General features: G+C 40.8%; 1 protein-coding gene, 1 long non-coding RNA gene and 1 other non-coding gene across 5 annotated transcripts in view, besides 7 other annotated features; 1 reads left to right on the forward strand and 2 right to left on the reverse strand.

Annotated features, from left to right (window-relative positions):
- The window catches only part of CD58 (CD58 molecule), a 56,493-nt gene that overhangs the window by 24,523 nt on the left and 6,422 nt on the right, over window positions 1–25,548 (reverse strand). For all 3 annotated transcript variants that reach the window (NR_026665.2, NM_001779.3, NM_001144822.2), the window contains exon 2: window positions 5,255–5,548. Coding sequence is in view for 2 of the 3 variants with exons in the window: in NM_001779.3 (NP_001770.1) it covers window positions 5,255–5,548 (294 nt within the window). In the remaining variant the exon portion in view is untranslated. The remainder of the gene's footprint in view (window positions 1–5,254; window positions 5,549–25,548) is intronic.
- On the forward strand, window positions 5,645–22,131 carry LOC105378925 (uncharacterized). Its single transcript, XR_947739.2, has 3 exons — window positions 5,645–5,768; window positions 7,822–7,904; window positions 11,329–22,131. It is a non-coding gene; the product is annotated as an uncharacterized LOC105378925 (long non-coding RNA).
- Window positions 5,657–5,886: an enhancer, noted in NCBI's record as "active region_1566". NCBI's record gives its function as "activates an Ori minimal core promoter by ATAC-STARR-seq in GM12878 lymphoblastoid cells {active_cell/tissue: GM12878}" and the evidence as "EXISTENCE:reporter gene assay evidence [ECO:0000049][PMID:35858748]".
- Window positions 17,528–17,777: an enhancer, noted in NCBI's record as "active region_1567". NCBI's record gives its function as "activates an Ori minimal core promoter by ATAC-STARR-seq in GM12878 lymphoblastoid cells {active_cell/tissue: GM12878}" and the evidence as "EXISTENCE:reporter gene assay evidence [ECO:0000049][PMID:35858748]".
- Window positions 17,528–17,845: a biological region, named in NCBI's record as "Sharpr-MPRA regulatory region 4262".
- Window positions 17,551–17,845: an enhancer, noted in NCBI's record as "tiled region #4262; K562 Activating DNase matched - State 5:Enh". NCBI's record gives its function as "activates a minimal TATA promoter and a strong SV40 promoter by Sharpr-MPRA in K562 cells {active_cell/tissue: K562}" and the evidence as "EXISTENCE:reporter gene assay evidence [ECO:0000049][PMID:27701403]".
- Window positions 19,522–19,571: an enhancer, noted in NCBI's record as "active region_1568". NCBI's record gives its function as "activates an Ori minimal core promoter by ATAC-STARR-seq in GM12878 lymphoblastoid cells {active_cell/tissue: GM12878}" and the evidence as "EXISTENCE:reporter gene assay evidence [ECO:0000049][PMID:35858748]".
- Window positions 20,623–20,862: an enhancer, noted in NCBI's record as "active region_1569". NCBI's record gives its function as "activates an Ori minimal core promoter by ATAC-STARR-seq in GM12878 lymphoblastoid cells {active_cell/tissue: GM12878}" and the evidence as "EXISTENCE:reporter gene assay evidence [ECO:0000049][PMID:35858748]".
- On the reverse strand, window positions 20,968–21,055 carry MIR548AC (microRNA 548ac). The gene has a single exon (NR_039621.1). It is a non-coding gene; the product is annotated as a microRNA 548ac (primary transcript).
- Window positions 23,462–23,611: an enhancer, noted in NCBI's record as "active region_1570". NCBI's record gives its function as "activates an Ori minimal core promoter by ATAC-STARR-seq in GM12878 lymphoblastoid cells {active_cell/tissue: GM12878}" and the evidence as "EXISTENCE:reporter gene assay evidence [ECO:0000049][PMID:35858748]".

Below are 25,548 nucleotides of genomic sequence, written 5' to 3' on the forward strand. Positions count from 1 at the left end.
AGGACACAAATAGTACTTACTCTATCAGACTGTAATGAGATTAAATGAGTTAACACAGATAATAATCAACATATGAATTAACATGTAGTGCCTGCACAGAGTAAGTACTTAACAAATGCTAGCTGTAATAGAGCACACGGCCATTGGCTGTGAGTTTCCAACTCCAGGAAGCCGAGGCTCCCCGGAGGGTATGTGATATGATGAGAAGAGTCACTGAGTAGGAGTTGGGAGGTTTGATCAAGCCTTAGCCTTGGCCTGCTGTGTGACCTGGGGCCACAGTCCTTTTAGGAGCTGGAAGAGTTTTAAGAAAGCATCCATCCAGGTCTCTTGTTCTACTTACAGAGAAACGGACTCCTAAACTGTCTTATTTTCATCTGTGAAAGGGAATGCTGTATCAGGTCACTGTAAAGGTCAAACAGAATATGACTGAGTGCCACATGCAGGGTTTGTAAAAAAGAAAAGAAAAGAAAAGAAAAGAAAAAAAACAGAATATGAAAGTAATTTCAGGGGAAACATGAAGAAGTGTTAGTATTATCTTCTAAGTTGCTAGAACTCCCTTGACTAGGTAGAAGCTCTTTCTGGCTATCTCATTACACAACAGTTGCCAGATGGCAAAGGTAGAAGTGCCTATCCAACTCATCTAAAAGTGTGCAAGCCTTTCTGCAGCACCTAGATCACAGTTTCTACACCTCAGATCTTTTCCTTCTATAAATCTTTCATATTTTCTTGCTGCCCGTGGGACTTACCACAGCTGTATCTAACAAATATTCGTTATACCTCTACTTTAAGCAGCATTAAACTGGCAAGAAATGTGCCTACTTCCTCCCTAAGACAATTAGTCAATTTATAATTAATGAATTGAGTTCACTGCTGTGTAAAAAATGAGAATTTCTTACACATATCTGATGACATTTTATAGAAATATGTGTATATTTTCACGAATTTTAGTAAAGGTCAAGTATCAATCCAGCCCAGTTAAGGACAGGGCAGTTAATTCTACTTACATAAAAATCATCATCTGAGATGTGATGAAGGTCCATAAAAAGATGGGAAAGGACTAATAAACCTCAGAAGTAGAAATTTTAAGGGGACTTTTGGGTATGGAGGAAAGCCAGATCTCAATGTACACACAGAAGGAAGTGGATGCCCTGAATTTAGGAAGTGCCAGGAAATCCCCCTGTCCAAAATATGCTCACTGGAAGTCTCCTATTAGGTCTGGTGTCTCTAGAAGATTACCAGGTTACTAAAACAAGTGTTAACATTACCTCAAGGAAGTATGACTTCCTCTTTTCTTAAAAAAAAAAAAAAATAGTATGACCAATCATTTTATCATGCAGATGTGAAACCTAGAGTCATCTTATGTCTTTTTACAACCAAAACCTACATCTTGCAGACTCTTTCTTGGACCCTCTATCTACCTGGATGATAGTAGCTTCTAACTTGACATCTCCTCTCTTTAATCCATCATAAGTATGCACCATCACATTAATCTTCCAAAAATGTATTTTATCAAGTCACTTCCTTGCTCCAGTATAGGACACAATGGCTCCCCACTGCTACAAGCTGATGTCCAGACTCTCAAACCAGGACTTTAAGTCCCACACTCAATACTATCAATATCACTGCCTCCTGATCAAAACTCACCTCCCCTGTACTTTACTCCTCTGCAGGCTTCCTAAGGTCTATCCAGTTGGTCTGACTAACAAAACCATACCTTTGCTGAGGTGCCATAGAATATTTTATTTAATTAATTTATTTAGCTAGTTATTTTGAGGCAGGGTCTTGGTCTGTCACCCAGACTGGAGTGCAGAGGTGCAATCATGGCTCACTGCAGCCTCAGCCTCCTGGGCTCAAGGGATCCTCCCACCTCAGCCTCTTGAGTAGCTGGGACTACAGGCATGCACCACCATGCCTGGTTAATTATTTTATTTTTGTAGAGATGGAGTCTTGCTATGTTGCCTAGGATGGTCTTGAACTACTGGGCTTAAGCAACCCTCCCTCCTCAGCCTCACAAAGTGCTGGGATTATAGCCTTGAGCCACAATGCCCGGCCTAGAATATTTTAAATTATTTTAAAACAGTTCATCAAGTTTAAGAGGAGAAATTTATTCAAATGTTTTGAATTAGTTTTACAAACTCTATAAAAAGGGCTCTTAAAATGTGTGATCTAAATTCTGACTCAATCCTCTTGTTTGTTGGCCCTATCTATAAATTATCAGATCCCCAATGTCCATGTTTCAAAGATTCTACTTTTTCAAGGAAATCTTCTAAGAGGATACTTTGACATCTTAGCAAGCTGTATTTGTCTAAATAGAGTCCACAGGGGTCAGACCTCACATAGCCTTGCAAGTCGCTTTACACATTTTAGCTTTAACAGAGTTAGATGGGGCCATTAGAAAGTTCCACACAGATGAGTGACATGATCTGACTTCTGTTTTAAAAAGATCATTCTGGTAGAACCAATACAACTTCCTGGTAGAGTGAATGTGGTATTCAAGAAAAAGAGAGGTATCAAGGATGACATCCCGGTTTCAGACTGACCAGCTGAAAGGATGGGGCTGCCATTAACCAAAAGGGAAAAGATTTGGGGAGGAGCAGCAGGTTTTAAGGGGAAGATAATGAGCTTACTTTTGGACTTGTGATATTTGAAAGGCCAATTAGATGTCTGACTGGAGAGGTACACTGGGCAGTCAGGTATACACATAAGGAGCTCGGCGGGGTACTCTGGGCTAGAGCTCTAGATCTGTACATTATTAGCATTGAGATGATATTTAAAGCCCTGACATGGGATGAGCTCACCCACTGGCTATGAACGCAGACAGAAAAGGAAAGAGACCTAAGGCTTAAGCCTTGATGTTTCCAGTGTTAAGAGGTTGGGGAAACAAGGAAACTAGCAAAAGAAGCTGAAAAGGAATAGTCAGTGTGTTAGAAAGAAATGTGAAGCCAGGCACAGTGGCTCACACCTGTAATCCCAACACTTTGGGAGGCCAAGGCAGGTGGATCACCTGAGGTCAGGAGTTCAAGACCAGCCTGACCAACATGGTGAAACCCCATCTCTACTAAAAATACAAAATTAGCCAGGCATGGTGGTGCATGCCTGTAATCTCAACTGTTCAGGAGGCTGAGGCAGAAGATTCACTTGAACCCGGGAGGCATAGGTTGCAGTGAGCTGAGATCGCGCCATTGCATTCCAGCCTGGGCAACAAGGGCGAAACCCCCTCTCAAGGAAAAAAGAGAAAGAAACATGAATAGGGTGGTATCCTGGATGTCAAGTGAAGACAGTACTTGGAGGAGGGAGTGATCAGCTATGTCAAAAGCTGCTGAGAAGTCAAGAATGACATGGACTGAGAATGAACCACTGGATTTATTAACAAGGAGGTCTAGAGGAGTTTTGGCATAGCAGTGCAGATGAAAGCCTATTTGGAGTGGGTTAAAAGTGAATATAAGGGATCAGAATAAGTGAATATGGACAACTTCTTCAAGGAGATTTTCTATAAAGTGAAGACAGCAGGTGGTGGTGGCTGGAGGGGTACAGGGATCATGAGAAAGTTTTAATGACAGTATATATGTATGCCACTTAAAATGAACCATCAACTTATGGGGGAAATTCTCATCAGGAGAGAGTGGGTAGAAGCACTAGGGTGATATTCCCGAGGACGGCAAGAGGAGGTGGGATCCAGGGCACACGTGGAAAGTTTAACTTCAGGTGAGAACTCAGAAAGTCCATTCATATCAGGAGAGAAAGCAGGGCCTACAGGCTCAGGTATGGGTAGGAAGGTAGGCAGGTGGTGAGAGCTTGTGGAAATTGCCCTCTGATTGCTTATTCTCCTTAGTGAAATAAGAAGCAAAGCCTTCAGCTGAAGAGTCAGTCTAGAGAAGGAGGTATTCAAGATTTGAGGAGAGAAAAAGTAACTGCTAGGAGAGTGGGTAAGTGAACAGGCTAGGAAATACCAACTTAATTGAGGTAAGTGATTAGAGAAATTAAAAGTGCAGGACTTTGTAGGGTGGTGTATTTTTCTGCAACCACATGGGTGTGAGCACAGAATAGGCAAAGCAGCGGACTTAATCTAGCTGTAATCTGGCCATGCGAGTATGACAAGCCAGCAAAGGAGCAAGGAAGCTAAGTGTGTCTGCAACGGACTGAGTCTAGTGAGTGACAACAGCACTCAGGCTGAGTAGGGAGGGCAGCAGGGACATCAGGTGTGTGAAGGACTGTCAGCATCAGCATCATCAAGGACAGGGCATGGTGGTCAGAGTGAGACACCTGACATTGAGGTAATGATGAGTTCTCGGTTACATCCATGGGTAGTGGGTAACGTAGAGGAAAAGATCCTTACAGGAGAGGCGATCAAGGACAATATTGAAAGAATTTTAATTTAAATATTGCAACCACCAAGACACCAGGAATGTCAGAAACAATGAAAATGAGGCAGGCCTTAAAATGACCAAGAAACACTGGCATGTGAGGCAGGGGCCTATACAAGACTGCAACACAAAAGGGGCTTTAGAGACCAGGGAGGAGTGTCAGTGAGAAGCAGGGAGAAATGTGTCCCCTCTCTCTAGTTTCAGTTTAAAATGGTGCAGGAGCTGGGTGTGGTGGCTCATGAGTGTAATCCCAGCACTTTGGGAGGCTGAGGCGGGTGGATCACCTGAGCTCAGGAGTTTGAGACCAGCCTGGCCAACACAGTGAAACACCATCTCTACTAAAATACAAAAATTAGCTGGGCATGGTGGTGCGGGCCTGTAGTCCCAGCTACTTGGGAGGCTGAGACAGTAAAATCACTTTGAACCTGGGAGGCAGAGGTTGCAGTCAGCCAAGATTGTGCCACTGCACTCTGGCCTTGGTAACAGAGTGAGACTCCTTCTCAAAATAAATAAATTAATTAAATAAAATGGTGCAGGAGGAAAAACAATCTCCCCGCTGTGTGGGGAAGCAGGAACTTTATAGAGTAACATCTATCAGTGGAGCCCAAAGAGTTCTAAGCTAACTGCTGTCACTACATCTCTTTCCAAAACATTCCTAGTAAGACAACTGATACTGTTCTCCCCACCTTGGTTAGATTCTCTCCTCACCCAGAGGAATGACAAAGGAATTGAAAGTAGCTAGCTCCTCTATACCAGAAAAGGAGAAAACCCTGACAACAGGTAACATCTAATTCTTTTCTCATAGACCATTAATTTGTGCTAGTCTCTGAAAACAGACTAAAAAAATGGAAATTTGCCATTTTAAACAAATCAACTTATGGAATACTCACCAAGCACATAAAGAAAGAACTTCATGGTATCAGTAATATTTGGCGATTCCATTTCATACTCATCTTCATCTGATGATGTTAAGTTGTAGATAGTGAGGCTACCTGACACAGTGTCTAAATAAACCCTATTTTTAAAAGATGAGAAAGCTCTGAATTCAGAATTTTCCAGTTCTGCAACTTTATCCTTTTGTTTTTTCCATAGGACCTCTTTTAAAGGCACATTGCTTGGTACATGGAAAGTTACATTCCCATACACAACACCATATATTTGTTGGGAAAAACAGCTGATGAAACCTAGGAGAGAAAAAAAAATTGGTTAGAAAAAACAACATGACTTTGGTGGCAGAAATTATTCATCAGGTACTTTTTGTGCTAAGCTGACAAACTGCTGACACAAAATACAGGAAGTAAGAACATGTTTGACCATGTGGAGCTTACTCTTTAATAGAAAACTGGGACCTGCATAAATCCAAGAAATGGACCCGACATTCATGGAGCACCAACCATCTGCCAGGTAGTACGGGCTGGGCTGGGAATATGGGGTTGTTCCAGGCCCTCCAGGAGCCTCACGTGTGGAGAAGACAGGGAGCAGGCTCTACATCAGGGGCTGCATGAGGGGAGCTGCCTGGTCTAGGGCCTCCCCAAGGAAGTCATGCTGGAACTGACATAACGTGCAAATCACTGAAGGATAAAAGGCAGTTAGGCCGCAGGGCTGGGTAGGTGAGTGGGTGGGGAGTGGAAGAAGAGATGATCATACAGATATATAGGAAGCAGCACCCCCAAAGGAAGGCCCTGAATGGAGAAAGAGCATGGTGTGCTTGAGGATACACACGTGATTCCTAACAGCTAGAATGAGGAGGGCAAGGGGTGGCTGGTGGGGAACAAGACAGACAAAGGCCAGCCCACAGCCTATGTGTGCTAAAGTAAGGAACGCTAAGGGTTTGGACTGATCCTAATGGAGAGGAAGCCACAGAAAGGTTTTTAACAAGACTGGCCTAACATAATTTAAGTGTCAGCAGGCTGACTGTCTTTAGAGTAGAGAGCGGCTGACAGGGGCCAGCACAGAGGCAGGGAAATTATAATGAAAGTCAATGCTGTAGCAATGAAGTCCATGGACAGGACAGACCAGAGCAGGGTGTTTGTAGTGGGGACAGACAAGCGGACAGACTCAGGAGATGCTGGAGAGAGAAGTCAACAGGATTCAGTGATGAGGGTGGGGGAAGTGGATGGGACTGTCAGGTCTCCTTGGCTGACTGAGAGGCATCATTAACTGAGATCAGAAACAATGGCTGGGAAGCAAGTCGAGGGTGTGATGAAGATTAAGAACTCAGGGATTGGGTGCAGTGGTGGGTTGGAGCCAGGTCCACCTGCCCTCATGAGCCAATTGTTAGCATCTCTGCCCAGCCCTATTAGGGAACATCTAGTAACAGCACAGAAACTGACTAATGCTTCACATCAGAACCTCCATACCAACCTAGTTGTTAAACATTTATTAGAACCACAAGATTGGGATATTTTTGATACCCCAAAGTGGGTTTAAATGCATCTTGCTCTAGGACTTGTCTCTTGTTAAGAGAGAACAGCAGCTGGGTCCTGTGGTTCATGCCTGTAAGTCCAGCATTTTGGGAGGCCAAGGTGGTTGGATTGCTTGAGTTCAGGAGTTCAAGACCAACCTGGGTAAAATGGCGAAACCCCATCTTTACGAAAAGTACAAAAAATTAGCTGGGCATGGCACACACCTGTGGTCCCCAGCTACTTGGGAGGCTGAAGAGGATTACTTGAAGCCATGAGGCAGAGATTGCAGTCAGCCATGATTGTGCCACTGCACTCCAGCCTGGGTGACAGAGCATGACCTGTCTCAACAAACAAACAAAAAACTGCAGCTATTTTAAGTTAACATTAAAGAGCAATTAAAATTTGACTGAAGTTTTTGCCTAGTAGCAATTAGGGTAATTGAAATAATACAGGGGAAATCAAGAACACTGAATGACCAGTTGTAGACAACTGTGTTAGTAATTTCAGATAAGAAGCAAATATCACCCATTTGTTTATCTACAAGGACTTTTTAGAACCCATCTCCCTTAATTAAGGGGAACTGCCCTCAAAAACACACCAGCATCTTTCCATTGCTTTGCCGATTATGCATTATTTCCTCCACTCAACAGAGTATGTGGGAAGGCACAAGAAAAAGTACAGAATTCAAGGGGTGAGAGTCTACCACACACAATAGTGGAAACTCAAAAATGTCTTATAAATGTAAATGAAACAATGAGTGATAGAGGGCAGGGTGGTGGTGAAAGAGTAGGTATGAGATAAACTGCCATACCCTGGCGGCATGAAGATGTCTTTTGTCTTTCCCAGGGAGAGCTGATGTATCCTGGGCTTGAGAACAGTAGAAGAAAGTAGTCAGGAATGGAGCTAGTGGTGGAGGGAAGTGAGGGTAGAGAAAGGGGAGACTGCAGCTCAGAAGAAATCAAAGTACAGTTGACCCTTGAACAACATGGGTTTGAGCTGTGTGGGTCCACTTACATGTGGATTTTCTTCCGCCTCTGCCATCCCTGAGATAGCAAGACCAACCCCTCCTCCCACTTAGCCTGCTTTAACGTGAAGATAATGAGGATGAAGACCTTTGATGATCCACTTTCACTTAGTAAGTATATTTTCTTCCTTATGCTTTTTTTTCTTTTTTAAATTTTTTTATTACTATTATCTCAATAGTTTTGGGGGAACAGGTGATGTTTGGTTACATGGATAAGTTTTTTTTTTTTTTTTAGTTATTTGGGTGTGATTTCTGAGATTCTGGTGTACACTGTACCCAGTGTGTAGTCTTTTATCCCTCATCCCCATCCCACCCTTCTCCACAAGTCCCCAAAGTTCACTGTATCATTCTTACATAGCTTAGCTCCCACTTGTAAGTTAGAACATATGTTTGGTTTTCCATTCCTGAGTTACTTCACTTAGAATAATGGTCTCCAGTTCCATCCAGGTTGCTGTGAATGCCATTATTTTGTTCTTTTTTTTTTTTTTTTCTTTTGAGACAGAGTCTCGCTCTGTCCCCAGGCTGGAGTGCAGTGGCGTGATCTCGGCTCACTAAAAGTTCCACCTCCCAGGCTCACGCCATTCTCCTGCCTCAGCCTCCTGAGTAGCTGGGACTACAGGCGCCCACCACCATGCCCGGCTAATTTTTTTTTTGTATTTTTAGTAAAGACGGGGTTTCACCATGTTAGCCAGGATGGTCTCGATCTCCTGACCTCGTGATCTGCCCGCCTTGGCCTCCCAAAGTGCTGGGATTACAGACACGAGCCACCGCGCCTGGCCTATTATGTTCCTTTTTATGGCATATTCATATATATATATATCTCCCACATTTTCTTTATCCACTCATTGATTGATGGGCATTTATGCTGATTCCATATTTTTGCAATTGCGAGTTGTGCCACTATAAAGATGTTGTGTGCAACATGTTGTGTGTTGTCTTTTTCATAAAATGACTTGTTTTCCTCTGGGTAGATACCCAGTAATGGGATTGCTGGATCAAATGGTAGTTCTACTTTTAGTTGCTTAAGAAATCTCCATAGTGGTTGTACTAGTTTACATTCCCACCAGCAGTGTACAGGTGTTCCCTTTTCCCACCACACCCATGCCAACATCTATTATTTTTTGATTTTTAAATTACGGCCATTCTTGCAGGAGTAAGGTGGTATTGCATTGTGGTTTCAATTTGCATTTCCCTGATAATTAGTAATGTTGAGCATTTTTTCATATGTTTGTTGGCCATTTGTATATCCTCCTTTGAGAACTGTCTATTCATGTCCTTGGCCCACTTTTTGATGGGATTGTTTGCTTTTTTCTTGCTGATTTGTTTGACTTCCTTATAGATTCTGGATATTGGTCCTTTGTCAGATACATAGTTTGTGAATATTTTCTCCCACTTTGTGGGTTGTGTGTTTACTCTGCTGATTGTTTATATTGCTGTACAGAAGCTTTTTAATTTAAGCCCCATCTATTTATCTTTGTTTTTGTTGCATTTGTTTTTGGGTTCTTGGTCATGACCTTTTGCCTAAGCCAAAGTCTAGAAGAGTTTTTCTGATGTTATCTTCTAGAATTTTTATGGCTTCAGGTCTTAGATTTAAGTTTTTGATCCACCTTGAGTTGATTTTTATATAAGGTGAAAGATGAGGATCCAGTTTCATTCTTCTACACCTTATGCTTTTCCTAATAAGTTCTTTTCTCTAGCTTAATTTAGTGTAAGAATACAACATGCAATGCATATAACATAGAAAATATGTGTTGTTTATGTTATTGGTAAGGCTTCTGGTAGGCTATTAGCAGTTAAGTTTTTGGGAGTCAAGAGTTATACATAAATTTTTGACTGCTCAAGGGGTTGGTGCCCCTAATTGCCATGTTGTTCAAGGGTCAACTATAATTTTGAACTAGAAGAAACTCTAAAAATTATTTAGTCAAATTACTCCCATTTCACTGGTGAAGTGACAAGACACCAAGAAAAATATAAGGCAATTTTATTGAATGCTTACTCTCTGCTGGTTATATGTTCACATTGTCTTGTATTCCTTTTTATCCCTCTCCATGTCTACCTGCAGTAGGTGTTATTAACCCCATTTACAGGTAGGAAAGCAGGCTCCAAGAGGCATATCACCTTGCTCCATGTCTCTCAGCAAGTTTATGGCGGCACAATGACCAGAACACACATTGTCTGACTCCTTGGTCAGTGCCCTTTCAGAACAGCGTGGTCCCACATTCAGGATGGGATTCATTTATTCATTCACTCAGGAAATATTCATTGGGCATCTATTCTATATAAGATCCTTGAGAACAAGACAGACACCGTCCCTTCCTTCTTAGAGTTGACATTCTATTAGGGGAGGCAGAATTTACACAAATAATTAGACAATGCCCAACTGCAACTGTGATAATTGCTGCTAAGTAAAAGCATCAGGTGTCAATAAGAACATTTACTTAGGGAACTAACAAGGGGTTAGGGAAGGCAGTTCCCTTCCCTAAAAGAAGTTCTGAGGCACAAGCAGCAGTTAACTATGCCCAGGAGAGCAGGGCAGGTCCCCATTAAGAGAACAATTATGCAGACCTTGAAGCAGGAGCAATGGCATGAGAAAAGTAGCATAAGCCGAGCTGCATACACAAGCACAGCCAGCCCTTGCAAGGCATCAAACAAACACAATTCTAGTATTGAAGTAAAGAAAGCCATAGAAGAGTTTCAAACAGGATGGGGACAAAATAAGAGTAACTCTTTCTTTAAAAAATGTATTTTAAAACATAAATTATACATAGACACATACATACAACTTTACACTAATGAAAAACGATCATATAAGTATTTTTTCAGTCCTCTTATCTGGGTGCCTTACCCACTCTCTTAACCCCATAACAATCTCCAGTTCTATAATCTACATTAACAAATCAGAATACATCTTTCAATATTTTTCTCTCATATAGTCAAATAGATACAAACATGTATCACATATAATGGATACACACAGGTATAGCTTGAAGATACCGTGGGTTTGGTCCCAGACAACAGCAATCATGTAAATATCAGAGTAAAGTGTGTCACACAAATTTTCTGGTTTCCCAGGGCATATAAATGTTATGTTTACACTATACTGTAGTCTATTAAAGTGTTCAATAGCATTATGTCTAAAAACACAATGTACATATTTAATTAAAAAATACTTTATTGCTGAAAAAAAAAACATGCTAACAATCATTTGAGCCTTCAGCAAGTCCTAATATTTTTGCTGGTGAAAGGTCTTGCCTCAATGTTGATGGCTGCTGACTGATCAGGGTGTTGGTTGCTAAAGGCTGCAATGGCTGTGGCAATTTCTTAAAAGAAGACAATGATGAGTTTTGCTGCATCAATGGACCCTTCCTTTCACAAAATATTTCTCAGAGGCATCCAATGCTGTTTGATAGAATTTTACTCACAGTAAAACTGCTTTCAAAATTAGAGTAAATTTTCTCAAATCCTGCTGCTGCTTTATCAACTAAATTTATGTAATACTCTTAACCCTTTGTTGTCATTTAAACAATGTTCACAGCATCTTCACCAGGAGTATAGATGCCATCTGAAGAAACCACTTTCTTTGCTCATCCATAAGAAGCAACTCCTCATTGGCTCAATTTTCATCATGAGATTGTGGCAACTGAGTGACATATTCAGGCTCCACTTCTATTTTTCTTGCTATTTCCACCCTTCAAAGTCATCCATGAGGATCGGAATCAAATTCTTCCAAACTCCTGTTAATATTGATATTTTGACCTGACGATTGGAATCAAATTCTTCCAAACTCCTGTTAATGTTGATATTTTGATCTTCTCCCATGAACCACAAATATTCTTAATGACATCTAGAATGCTGAATCCTTTCAGAAGGTTGTCAATTTACTTTGCCCAGATTCATCAGAAGAATAATTATCTATGGCAGCTATAGCCTTACCAAGTGTATTCCTACATAATAAGACTTCAAAGGCAAAATTACTCCTTGATCCATGGGCTGCAGAATGGATGTTGTATTAGCAAGCATGAAAACAACACTCATCTCCTTGTACATCTCCATCAGAGCTCTTGGGTGATTAGGTGCATTGTCAACAAGCAATAATATACTGAAATGAATCTTTTTTTTCTAAGCAGTAAGTATTAACAGTGGGCTTACAATATTCAGTAAACCATGCTGTAAACAGATGTGCTGTCATCCAGCCTGTTGTTCCATTTTATAGAGCACAAGCAGAATAGATTTAGCCTAATTCTTAAGGGCCCTAAAAATTTTCAGAGTGGTAAATGAGCACTGGCTTCAACTTAAAGTCATCAGCTGCATTAGCCCACACAACAAGAGAGTCAGCTGTCCTTTCAAGCCTGAAGTTGACTTCTCCTGTCTAGCTATGGAAGTCCTAGATGGCATCTTCTTCCAGTAGAAGGTTGTTTTGTCTACATTGAAAATCTGTTGTTTCATGTATCCTGCACCAGTAATCTTAGATCTTCTGGATAATTTCTTGCAGCTTCTACATCAACACTTGCTGCTTTACTTCACAGTTTTATGTTATGGAGATGGCTTTCTTCCTAAGATCTCATGAACTAACCTCTGATAGCTTCAAACTTTTCTCCTGCAGCTTTCTCACCTCTCTCAGCCTTCACAGAACTAAAGAGAGTTAGGGTCTTGCTCTGGATTAGGCTTTGGATTAAGGGAATGTTGTAGCTGGCTTGATCTTCTATGCAGACTACTCGAACTTTCTCCATCTGCAATAACGCTGTTTCACTTTCTTATTTATGTGTTCACTGAAGTAGCACTTTTAATTTCCTTCAAGAACTTTTCCTTTGAATTCACAACTTCACTAACTCTTTGGCATAAAAGGCCTAGTTTTCAGCCCATCGTGGCTTTTTTTTTTTCTTTCTTTCTTTTTTTTTTTTTTTCTTCAGACAGAGTTTCATTCTTGTAGCCCAGACTGGAGTGCAATAGTGCCATCTTGGCTCACTGCAACATCTGCCTTTCAGGTTCAAGCGATTCTCCTGCCTCAGCCTCCCAACCAGCTGGGATTACAGGTGCCCACCACCACACCCAGCTAATTTTTGTATTTTTAGTAGAGACGGGGTTTCGCCATGTTGGCCAGGTTGGTCTCAAACTTCTGACCTCAGGTGATCCACCCACCTTGGCCTCCCAAAGTGCTGGGATTACAGTTGTGAGCCACCACGCCCGGCCACCTGTCATGGCTTTTCACATGCCTTCCTCACTAAGCTTAATCATTTCTAGTTTTTAATTTAAAGTGAGAGACAGTGCAACTCTTCTTTTCACTTGAGCACTTAGAAGCCATTGCAGGGTTATTAAATTGGCCTAATTTCAGTATCATTGTCTCAGGTGACAAGGGAGGCCAGGAGAAGGAGAAAGATGGGGAGAACAGCCAGTCAGTGGAGCAGTCAGAACACACATAGCATTTATCAATTAAGTTCACCGTCTTATACGCATGGTTCTTGGCATCCCAAAACAATGACAACAGTAACATCAAAGATCACTGATCACAGATCACCATAACAGATATGATAATGAAAAAGCGTTAAATATTGTGGGAATTACTAAAATGTAACAGAGAGACAAAACATAAAGTTAGGCACTGATGGACTTGCTTAAAGCTGGGTTGTCACGAACCTTCAATTTGTAAAAAGCACATTATCTGTGAAGTGCAATAAAGTGAAATGCAATAAAAGGAGGTGTGCCTGAGGGATTTACCATTCTTTAATAAAAATGGTCTTATGCACACTTCTCTACATCCCGCCTTTCCATTAATATGTCATAAAATCTCCTTGAAATCAACTGGTATAGCTATACTTTATTCTTTTTAATAACTACATAATATTCCAGAGCATGAGGGAACCATAATTAATCTGCCATCCACCACTGATGAACACTCCTTTTGTGGCTAGCTTTGTCTATTGCAGTTACACCGCAATAACTATCCTGTACATATGTCCTGATGTATTTATGGTTTCATATTTATGTGGGAGTAGAGTGGAGCTGGGAGTTGCTACATCAAAAGGTAAATAGATTTTTTTTATTTTAATAGAAGTTGCTGCATTGTTTACAAAAAAGACTTTGGCAATTTACATCTCCATCAGTAATGCCTGAGTTGCCCTTTCCTTGGACTCCTGACAGCATTAGGTAATTTTTTTTTTATGTTTAATTTTTGGGCAAATAGTGACATTTCATTGATACTTGAATTTGCATTTTCCCAACCTTTAAAAATTTAAGCATCTCTTCTGCTTGTTGATTTGGATTTCTTTTTCTGAGAAATGTCTTTTCACATCCTCTTTTTTTGTATTAGATTGTTTGTTTTTTTCTTCTCAAAGTTTAAAGGCTCCTTATATGTTATATATTTTTATCTGTATTATAGTTTTTTTTCAAATACAGCCTTTGCCTATTGAATTTACTAAATGAATATCTTCCATACAAAGTTTCTATATTTTTACATAATGAAAGTGTTTATCTTTTCTGGCTATGGTGTGGAAGACTGATGGGAGGGGTAAGACTAGATAGCAAGAGATCCATCAGACAGCAATTTCAGACTGGTCAAGAGGCAGCATTGTGCTAGGCAAAGTGGTTCAAGAGACATTAGGGAGGTAAAACTGGGAGAACTAGATGATTGACAGCATATGGGGTAAAGGAGGAGGAGAGGAGGTGCCAGGAGGGCCAGGATGAATCACAGCTCTTACTTCCTCCTAGGTGGGTTGTGGTGTCTTTCCCTAAGAAAGGAAACACAGCAGGAAGACTAAGACTGGCCTGGAACATCATGCTTTCAGTTTGACACTGTTCAGTGTGAGGGGTCTGTGAGACATCCAAGCAAAGATGCCCAGTAGCTGCTAAGTACACAGGTCTGGGACTCACAGGAAAGGATACAGATTTGGGAGTCATCACATTTCTAGTGGCTCCAATGGAGGCCATTAGGACCATCACCTTGGGAGAGCGTATGAAGTGGGAAAAGGCAGCTTGGACCTGTGCTTTAAAGCTTGGCTAGAGGGGAAAACACTGGCTAAGGAGACTGAGAGAGACCTGGGAAGTAGAAGAAAGGCCAGGAGGGGGATGGCATCATAACTCCAAGACAAGAGTCAACATGTGGAGACTTGACTGAATAAAAGGCACTAGTGATATTACTCAGATAGTAGGAAAAAGATGGAAGAAAATTCAAATGTAAGCAGAATTAAACACACATACAAAAACACATGCATACAATTTATTTTTGCTTATGCTCTAAAAGAACCTGTAGTTTCACTGAATACTGGGATCTGGGTGATATTTATTCAGGATGTTAACAAATAAAACAATAGTATAACCTACATAAAGAGATATGCATAATGATATTCATTTTAAAGTTATCTATACTAGTAAATAATAATCTAGTCTAATAGTTAAACAATTTAGTATTATGCCATGGCTTACTATGTGGTTATTTTAAAAAAGGAAACAGGATATTCTCCTTTTATTATTGGGAATTTGGAAAATTTCTTAATATTAAAAATAAAAAGTTATAGAAATATATATGCAGAATATTCCTCTTTTTAAAAACAATAAAGAGGCCAGATGTGGTGGCTCATGCCTACAATTCTAGCACTTTGGTAGGCCAAAGTGGAAGGATCACTTGAGCCCAGGAGTTTGATACCAGCCTGGGCAATGTAGTGAGACCCTGTCTCTACCAAAAAATATATATATATTTTAACTATAAAAAGACATGAATACATGTGTACATGCATTCTCACTTGCTCTTTTTTTAGACTGGAAAGAGACACCCTAAATGATTAACAGTGGTTGTTTTTAAAGTAACCACGGTTACTTTAGAGATTGTGGTGATGGTGAGATTTCAATTTATTACTTATTACTTAATACAGGTCACATTGAAAAATATGTTACTTTTGAAGACAAATATCCTATTACTATTATAATATTAAAACTATGTAAATTTTTTTTAAATAGAATTATTCAACCAAGAGGAGGAGTTGTTAAGAACTGTCTCTAAAACTAATATCTACCTCTACTTTGTGTGCATGGGTATATCTATTATTTCCTTCCTACAGTAAAGTCTTTTCTGTTGCACTTCCAAGGCCAACACTAAAGTAAGTTGCTAAGATAATTTCTAATGAACAAAAGAACAATAGAAGAAAGGGGAGTGAGTTTTTTCTCAAAGGTCACAAACCATGGATGAACGAATGAATGAATGAATGAATGAATACACAAATAGGAGCAAAGGAATGGTGTCAACAGTGAGTTTGTTGCTTTGCTGATACCACTGAGTGGTCAGAAAAGGGACTGTAGGGACGCTAATAACCATGCCAGAGTGCAGAACAGAGAGTGCCCAGATTTTGAAGCCAGCAAGGCCCAGGGTGAACTCCCAAAGGCCTCCCCACACTAGATCTCCTCAGCTGTGAAGTAGAAATCATAATGCCCACCATAAAAGATTGTTTTCAGGTTTGAATAAAATTGAGAGTCTTTTTACACTGGTTGACATGGAATAGGCTTTCAAAGGTTTTCTCTCTTTTTCTTTTAATGAGTTAGGTCAACATCAAGGTATTCACACTGTCTGAATTAACTGGGTGAGAACTGGGCATGGGGTGAGTTTTTGCTGTTTAAAAGCAAAGAGAGATGGAGGGAGGGAAAAAATTTTATCAGTGATCGCCTAAAAAGATTTTCTATGCTAGCCAGATAATTTTTGAAGGTTTTTTTGTTTTGAAGAATTTTGAATTTTTTTTAAATAAAGATATGAGGGTACCTAATACCTAATCAGCACTACATGTATAGAGTGATCACATATCTAAAAACAGGTCTGATCTCAAATATTCTGTTGCAGTGTTTCTACAAAACATCAACACCTCAATTTTAATAGTTCTTTTTGTATGGCCTGAAGTTGTAACTGGAACCCAAGTTTTATAGATGAAGTATCCTGATTTCTTATTTAGAAAATCTGGTCACCGTTAACTATGGGTTAATGAAAAGGAACTCTCAACCCCCAGCACAAATTCCTCTGCAAATTATTACTCAGGGCCTGAGATTCAGATTGACTGGTACTTTTTTTTTTTACTTAATCTAACACTTGTATGGCCCTGGCTCTGTGCCAGGCACTGTTGCAAGGGCTCTATAAATAGGTACTCACCACTGGGAGCAGTGGCTCATGCCTGTAATCCCAGCACTTTGGGAGGCCAAGGCAGGTGGATCACTTGAGGTCAGGAGTTCCAGACCAGCCTGGCCAACATGGTGAAACCCCGTCTCTACTAAAAATACAAAATTAGCTGGGCGTGGTGGCACTCGCCTGTAATCCCAGTTACATGGGAGGCTGAGGCAGGAGAATCGCTTGAACCCGGGAGGTGGAGGTTGCAGTGGCCAAGACTGTGCCACTGCACTCCAGCCTGGGTGACAGAGCAAGACTCCATCTCAGAAAAAAAAAAAAAAAAAAAAAAAAAATCAGAATCCTAAAAACATATTAAGAAGGTTTTATTTCTAACCTTATTATTTTGCAGGTGAGGAAACTGAGGCACAACAATGTTAAGTAATGAAGCCAGATTTGAACCTGGACAATCTGACTGCAGAATCAGTGCTCTTAACCATTGTTTCTTATTTAGCTTGCTACATGGCATAAGGCTCTTAAAGATAGTGACATGATGCAGGGTTTCTCAGGATACAATCTATAGACAGCATTGGAACAGCAGATGTTGCAAATGAGAAAGTCAAACTGAGTTAAGCACACCTCCAAACCTACAGGTGAGGCACTAAGCTCTGTGGTTTCCAAATCATCGAATGCTAGAGCTGAAGAGGGCCTCAGAGAGCAAGACTCCAGTCAAGGAAGAAAAAGCCAGACCAGAAACAATAAAAAGAAAACGAGCAAACAAAGGAGTCACAAAGAAACAGAACTGTGGCAAATGACGCATTAGACGAAGACCAGCAATTCCACCCACAGAGGAGATACCAGCGGGCCAAGTGTGAGTCAGAAGGGACTGGTGAGGACTTGCGCACCAGTGAGCCTACAGGGAGGGGCCTGCCATGTGGAAACAGGAGCTGTGCCTCAGCTCCTGCCATGTGGAAACAGAGGCCCACCATTGCCAGGTTCCCAATTTTTCAAAAAAAGCCAGATATTCACATTTTGTGTGAAAATTCCTGTTCTTGAAAGTTGGCAACTAATTCAAATCTGAGCTTAGGGGTAACCCCAGCCAGGCTAGCCCTATCAGGACAAGGACAAAGGTGTTCCTGTTTTTGGCTGTATCCCCATATGTCTGGCATATGGACTTTCAATAAATATCTGTTGAATGAATTAACTAAAATGATTAAAATACAACTTAAATGTAGTTCAAAAGATAAGGCTTCCTGACAGAATAGCAAAATTTGACAGTCACCCCAAACCCTGGGCTTTGTGAAATCCCAAATTGCTGTGGAACCTGGCTGAAGAAGGAGGACTTCGTAAGGAGAGATGGAGAAAGAAGTTTAACTGGAGCTTAAAAATAAAATGGCTCAGGAGCCCTCATATACAACCAAAACAGACTCAGTTTTTCAGCCCCACTTTCTGCCTCATCACCAAAGCAAGATGGGAGGACCTGCGGGCTCCACCTTCCCAACTCCACAGCTGTCCCTTTTGAGATGTTCCCTCTCAAGTTTAAGTAGATTTTACCAACTAAGTGTTATAGGATGCAGGGCACCACACCAGATAAACTTGTACCCACTCATGGATGTCAGCCCCAATCAAACTTAACAGCCTCGCTATGGTTTGAGGAGGTTCACTGATGTCATTTCTTTCTTTTCTTTCTTTTTATTTTTCTCTTTCTTTCCCTCTCTCTCTCCCTCCTTCCCTCCCCTTCCTTCCTTCCTTCCTTTTTCTTTTTGGAGACAGGGTCTCATTCTGTCACCCAGGTTGGTGTGCAGTGGTGCAATCGTGGCTCACTGTAGCTTCAACCTCCTGGGCTCAAGTGATCCTTCTGCCTCAGCCTCCCAAGTAGCTAGAACTACAGTTGCATGCCACCACGCCCAGCTAATTTTTATATTTTTTGTAGAAACAAGGTCTCACTATGTTGCTCAGGCTGATCTCAAACTCGTGGGCTCAAGTGATCCTCCTCCCTGGGCCTTCTGAAGTGCTGAGATTACAAGCATGAGCCACCATGCCCAGCCAATGCCATACCTTAGAGACAAGCTAATCACTCTTCCGGGATTTGAAGGAAAGGGTTTTCTTGAGTTTGTTCTTAGAAATAAACAATGTAATTTTAAGATACTTCTCTCTCTCTCTCTAAAATATTTTAAGGCTCACACTGCCTGCAGATTTTAGCAGGTAAAGTAAAAGTTCATTTGACCAAAAAAAAAAAAAAAAGAAAGAAAAAAGAAAAATTCCCTTAAAAGTTTCAGTACCTGAATATATGAATATTGGTATTTCCCTCTGAATATAAGACATCATAATGGTGATTCATTTAAAGCCTCGTGCAAGCCCAGAGATAGCAGGGTCTTGGGGCATTTTTGCTCCCAAGTGAGCAGATGGATTTCTCATCTGGATATGGGTCACTGAGCACAGCCTTGTCCCTCTCACTTCTCTGCGTTTGGTCTTCACATCACGGCACATTTTCAGTTGATGCCTACTTGCAGTATCAGGATGTGTGGCAATCTGGGAAGCAACATCTCTATCTACACACCCATATATGCATTTATAGTATTGAGGAGCGGCCAATCTCCTAAAATGTCTAGGCTAGTAATTGTATCAAATAACCTGTCCTATTAAGGCCATAAATATTCTCATATTAGTCAGTCCCAATTTTGGGGGTAGAAAATGTGCTTACCAGGCATGGAGATAATAAAGAGGAGTAGCACTGTTTGTTTTAACTCAATCAAGTTTCATACAGTTGTGACTCTTGCCTAGCTCTTAGCAAGTCCAATCCAAGGAGCCCTAGGCCAGCTCAGCCTCAGTAATAATATTTAACAGTAGCAGCAGCACGAAGATTCACTGCAGGCTTACTATGTGACAAGCACTTGTTCCAAGAGCTGTTTGTGTATTAACTCATTTAATCCTCAACTCAACTCTGAGGTAGTTCTTATTATTCATTTATTTGTTCATCAAATGTTCATGGAGTCCTGCCTATGTGCCAGACACTGAAATAAGCAGGCAGGATATAGCAATGAACAAAACAGACAAAATCCCAGCCCTCTTGGAGTCTATTTTTCAGTGGAGGGAAGAACATAATAAATGAAAAAGTAAATATCTTTTATTTGGATGATGTTGGATGATGTTAAGTGCTATAGAGAAAAATAAAGCAGAGTGTGGGGGCTGAGGAGTACTGGTAAGGAAAGGAGTTGGATGGCATGGGGGGCAGTCATAAGTTGGCATCTGAGCAGAGTCCAGAAAAGCAGGGGAGCGAGCCTAAGAACATCTGGGGTGAGAGTGAGAAAGGAGTTATTTCTTGAGAACACGCCTATCAAAGTAAGGTGGTTTGCTCCGCTGGACACTTGGTTGATAGAGAAGGTCAAAGATTCCGAAGCACCAGGCTACAGATGAAGAAATGGACTGAGAGGGTCAGCTGACTGCATTCACTCAGCTAGCAAGGGGCAGAGCTGGTGTCCAGACACAGGCAGTCGGCCCCAGAGCCTGCACTGTTGGCCAGAACATCAGATGCCTTGGTTGGGGCCATTCCTCTTTTTTCCTGATCGATTCCACCCTTAGCCGGTCCCAGTTAGTGACTTCTCTTATTTCCTTAAGACAGAGATTTACTGATTTCAGCCACACCACCACCAGTTTCCCTGCCCTCATCTACTTCATACTGAAACTGCAGCCACCTGTCTCCCAACGGTTACAAACCCTCGGTCCCCAAGGCCAGAGCAAGGTTCCCGGACCTTGCTCTCAGCTGTCAATCTGCCTCCTCGATAAGTTCATCAAGAATTAAGATGTTGGTTCTCTAAATCAACTTCTTTCTGTACTTTCCTTCTAATATGATGCTAAAATAGTTTCCTTTTTAATTCTTGTTCTTGCACTTAACCTATTTCTTCTTTCTCAAGATGTTTCCCTTTAGACCTATGCAATCCATCAAAGTAGCTACCAGCTACAAGTGGCTAGTGAGAACCTGAAATATGGTTAGTTCAAATGGAGATGTGTTCTGAGTATCAAATACACACCAGAATCTGAAGACCTGGTATTAAAAAGTGGAACATAAAATCTCTTGTTAATATTTTTTTGTAGTAACTACTAGGTTAGTGCAAAAGTAATTGCCGGTTTTTGCCATTAAAAAAAAATAGCAAAAACCACAATAACTTTTGCACCAACCTAATACATGTCGAAATGAAAATATTATGGATATATTAGGTTAACTAAAATATATTATTAAAATTAATTTCACATGTTCCATATTATACTTCTATTTGAGAGCACTTCTTTAGCCTGTTGTTTCAAGACACTCACATCCCACCTTTCTCAAAGGCCACATTTGTCTTTGACTGTTCTCACCTTAGATAGGATACAGCTGAGATCCACAGTATGCTTTAGGGAATAAGGTTCTTACTAGATCGGTTAAGGCTGTGAGTGTTTTTAAATCTATTCTCCAAAGTCTGATTCAAGGTATTTCAATACAGTACTGATCATTTCACTAAAATTCCTTGAGAATCCTTGTTATTTTCTAGATACTCAGTTCATCGTTGGGAAACTCTATTGCAAGTAGTTTACAATGGCACAGCCTCATTAGTTTCTTATTAATCTGATTTTTTATTTTTTTCTGAATGTGTATGTTAAACTTCAATTTTCTTCTAATTTTTAACTGGCATAGGAAGAAAATGTTCAAGAAACTACAGACTGGTCAGCCCAGTGGAAATTCAGGCACTAATCTCAACAGACATTTTGGGGAACATTGTAAAGTAAGCAAAGTTCACTAGAACCTATAAAGTAACCAAAAAGCATTTTCCTTGGAGGCTGATGGGCAGGCACTGAAAGTTATCTCCAAAGAGGAACTGCTAAAATGTTTTCCCCTCCTTTTCTAGGGACAGTCTCTGTATCTTATAGTCACACTTTATATTCAAACCTGAACTTATCTGAGAAAAGAGAAACGGCTGCATCCTGGTTTCACTTACAACCCTGAGATGGAAGTTGAGATTTGTCATTGCAGAATTTAAGGGTCTGTGTCCTTAAGTAAAACCTTCTGGTCACCCCTCAAGTAAAGCTTCAAAAAAGCTTAGGCACTTGTGCAGAAACAGCATGAGAAGAAACCAAAAGGCAGAAAACTTACACATATAAGGGCTGATTTATGCAAAGTTTCTACTTTTAAACAGAGAAACCAATACCTACCCTCAAAGCCTGTATTTACTAAAGAAATGTTAGAGTGACAAGGAGGTCAATAAAATAAATTATTCAAATCTGGTTCTTAAAAAGAGGTTCTAAGACTATTTTAAAACTTCTGAAAGATGCCCATCAAAATTAAAACAAAAAAACATAGCAACGAATACAATGAGTGAAACTTGATTAGATCCGGGTTTTTTAACAAAAGACACTCTTGTGACAAGTGGGGAAATCTGAATACGGGTAAAAGTTAGGTGATGTTACAGGATTAGTGTTAATATTTATAGATGTTATGATGTTATTGAGATTATGCAAAAGTGTCTAGGAGTGAAATGTGGGTACCTAGAGAATGTAAATATAATAATGTTAATAATAAATATGTCAATAAATTGCCATTGTAAATTCTATGTCCCAAAGAAGCACCCCTCACCATTACAAATTATGATATTAAATACAATTTTGCATGACTGGTAATTGTGCTGACCTATATTTCCCATGTTTTAGCAGAATTTCATTGGACAATGTATACATGTTGGATATAAGAAATCAGTAGTACTCATCTTCAAAAAGTTGCTTAGTGGATCTCAGGCTAGGGATACAACAGAGCATATAAAGGAATAGGTTCTGATTCAGAGAGAATCAAAGTTCAAGTTCACTCTGCCACTTATTTGCTGTGTGAACTTGGACACATTACTGAACCTACCTAAGCTTTGTTCTCCTATTAAATGTTCCCTATGTAATAAAATCAGTGTGACAATTAAATAAAAACATCTCAAATCTGAAGCATAGCTCCTGGCACAGAGCAGGTACTTACCTCCTAGTGGCTATTATTACTTACACTCTGTTATAACACTGGGCCTAGTTTTCCTATAGGAACACACAACACTATTTTAACTTGGATTATCTTTGCTAAATAAAAAAACACAGACTGTCTAAGTCTCAACTCCAGCAAAGCACATGAACAAGTCTCACATAATAATGTGAGATAATTTCAAATGGAGAAATGCTGGACAAATACATTGTCATCTAATGTTCAGATTCAACAATCTTTACTATTAAAAAAAAACAGATCAATATAAGGAAAATTTTAAAAAATAATACATGACTTCTGCATACAAGGAACTTAAAATCTAGTTATGCAGATAGTTGGCAATAAAGGATCTGTAAAATGTCAACAACAGCAGAATAAGACAGACTCTGTTAATAATAAAATAGTTCCTACCTTTTTATTTTTTATTTTTTTGCTCTGTTACCCAGGCTGGAATGCAGTTGTGTCATCATGGCTCACTGCAGCCTCAAATTCCCAGACTCAAGCAATTGCCAGGCTCATCTCAGCCTCCTGAGTAGCTGGGACTACAGGCGTGCACCACCACACCTGGCTAACTTTTTGTAGAGATGGGGTGTATTAGTCCATTCTCGCACTGCTAATAATGACATACATGAGACTGGGTAATTTATCAAGGAAAGAGGCTCAATGGACTCACAGTTCCACATGGCCAGGGAAACCTCACAATCATGGCAGAAGGCAAAGGAGAAGCAAAGTCATGTCTTAATGGTGGCAGGCAAGAGAGAGCGTGTGCAGGGGAACTCCCCTTTATGAAACCATCAGATCTTGTGAGACTTATTCACTATCACAAGAACAGTATAGAGGAAACTGCCCTCATGATTCAATTATCTCCACCTGGCCCTGCCCTTGACACACGGGGATTATTACAATTCAAGGTGAGATTTGGGTGGGGACACAGCCAAACCATATCATTCCACCCCGGCCCCTCCCAAATCTCATGTCCTCACATTTCAAAACACAATAATGCCCTTCCAACAGTCCCTCAAAATCTTAACTTATTCCAGCATTAATCCAAAAGTCTAAATCCAAAGTCTCATCGGAGATAAGGCAAGTACCTTCCACCTATGAGCCTGTAAAATCAAAGGCAAGTTAGTTACTTCCTAGATACAATGGGGGTACAGGTGCTGAGTAAATATATCCATTCCAAATGGGAGAAATTGTCCAAAACAAAAGGGCTACAGGCCCCATGCAAGTCCTAAATCCAATAGGGCAGTCTTAAACCTTAAAGTTCCAAAATGATCTCCTTTGACTCCATGCCTCACATCCAGGTGACGCAAGAGATGGGCTCCCACAACCTTGGGCAGCTCTTCCCCTGTGGCTTTGCAGGGTACAGCCATCCTCCTGGCTGCTTTCATGAGCTGGCATTAAGTGTCTGTGGCTTTTCCAGGTACACGGTGCAAGCTCTCGGTGGATCTACCATTCCGGGGTCTGGTGGATGATGGCCCTCTTCTCACAGCTCCACTAGGCGGTGCCCCAGTGGGGACTCTGTGTGGGGGCTCCAACTCCACATTTCCCTTCCACACTGCCCTAGCAGAGGTTCTCCATGAGGGTCCCACTCCTGCAGCAAACTTCTGCCTGGACATCCAGGCATTTCCATACATCCTCTGAAATCTAGGCAGAGGTTCTCAAACCTCAATTCTTGACTTCTGTGCATCCACAGGCCCAACACCACATGTAAGCCACCAAGGCTTACCCTCTGAAGCAACAGCCTGAGTGGTATGTTGGCCCCTTTTAGCCATGGCTGGAGCTAAAACAGCTGGCATGCAGGGCTCCATGTTTGGAGGCTGCAAAGAGCAGGGGGGCCCTGGGTCCAGCCCATGAAACAATTTTTCCCTCCAAGGCCTCCAGGCCTGTGATAGGAGGGGCTGCCATGAAGGTTTCTGATATGCCCTGGAGACATTTTCCCCATTGTCTTCGTGATTAACATTTGGCTCCTCATTACTTAATGCAAATTTCTGCAGCTGGCTTGAATTTTTCCTCAGAAAAGGGGTTTTTCTTTTCTATTGCATCATTGGGCTGCAAATTTTTTGAACTTTTATGCCCTGCTATCCTTTTAAACATAAGTTCCAATTCCAAACCACATCTTTGTGAACATATAAAACTGAATGCTTTTAACAGCAACCAAGCCACCTCTTGAATGCTTTGCTGCTTAGAAATTTCTTCCACCAGATGCCCTAAATAATTTCTCTCAAGTTCAAAGTTCCACGTATCTTTAGGGCACAGGCAAAATGCTGCCAGTCTCTTTGCTAAAACATATTAAGAGTCACCTTTATTCCAGTTCCCAACAATTGTTCCTCATCTCCATCTGAGATGAGCAGCATTTGGTCAAAGCCATTCAACAAGTCTCTAGGAAGTTCCAAACTTTCCCACATCTTCCTGTCTTCTTCTGAGTCTTCCAAACTATTCCAATCCCTGCCTGTTACCCAGTTCCAAAGTTGCTTCCACATTTTCAGGTATCTTTGCAGCAGTGCCCCACTACCCAGTACCAATTTACTATATTAGTCCATTCTCATGCTGCTAATAAAGACATACCCAAGACTGGGTAATTTATAAAGGAAAGAAGTTCAATGAACTCACAGTTCCACCTGGCCAGGGAGGCCCCACAATCATGGCAGAATGCAAAGGAGAAGTAAGGCACATCTTACATGGCA

The sequence above is a fragment of the Homo sapiens genome, chromosome 1, assembly GCF_000001405.40.
Source record: "Homo sapiens chromosome 1, GRCh38.p14 Primary Assembly".
Taxonomy (NCBI): domain Eukaryota; kingdom Metazoa; phylum Chordata; class Mammalia; order Primates; family Hominidae; genus Homo; species Homo sapiens.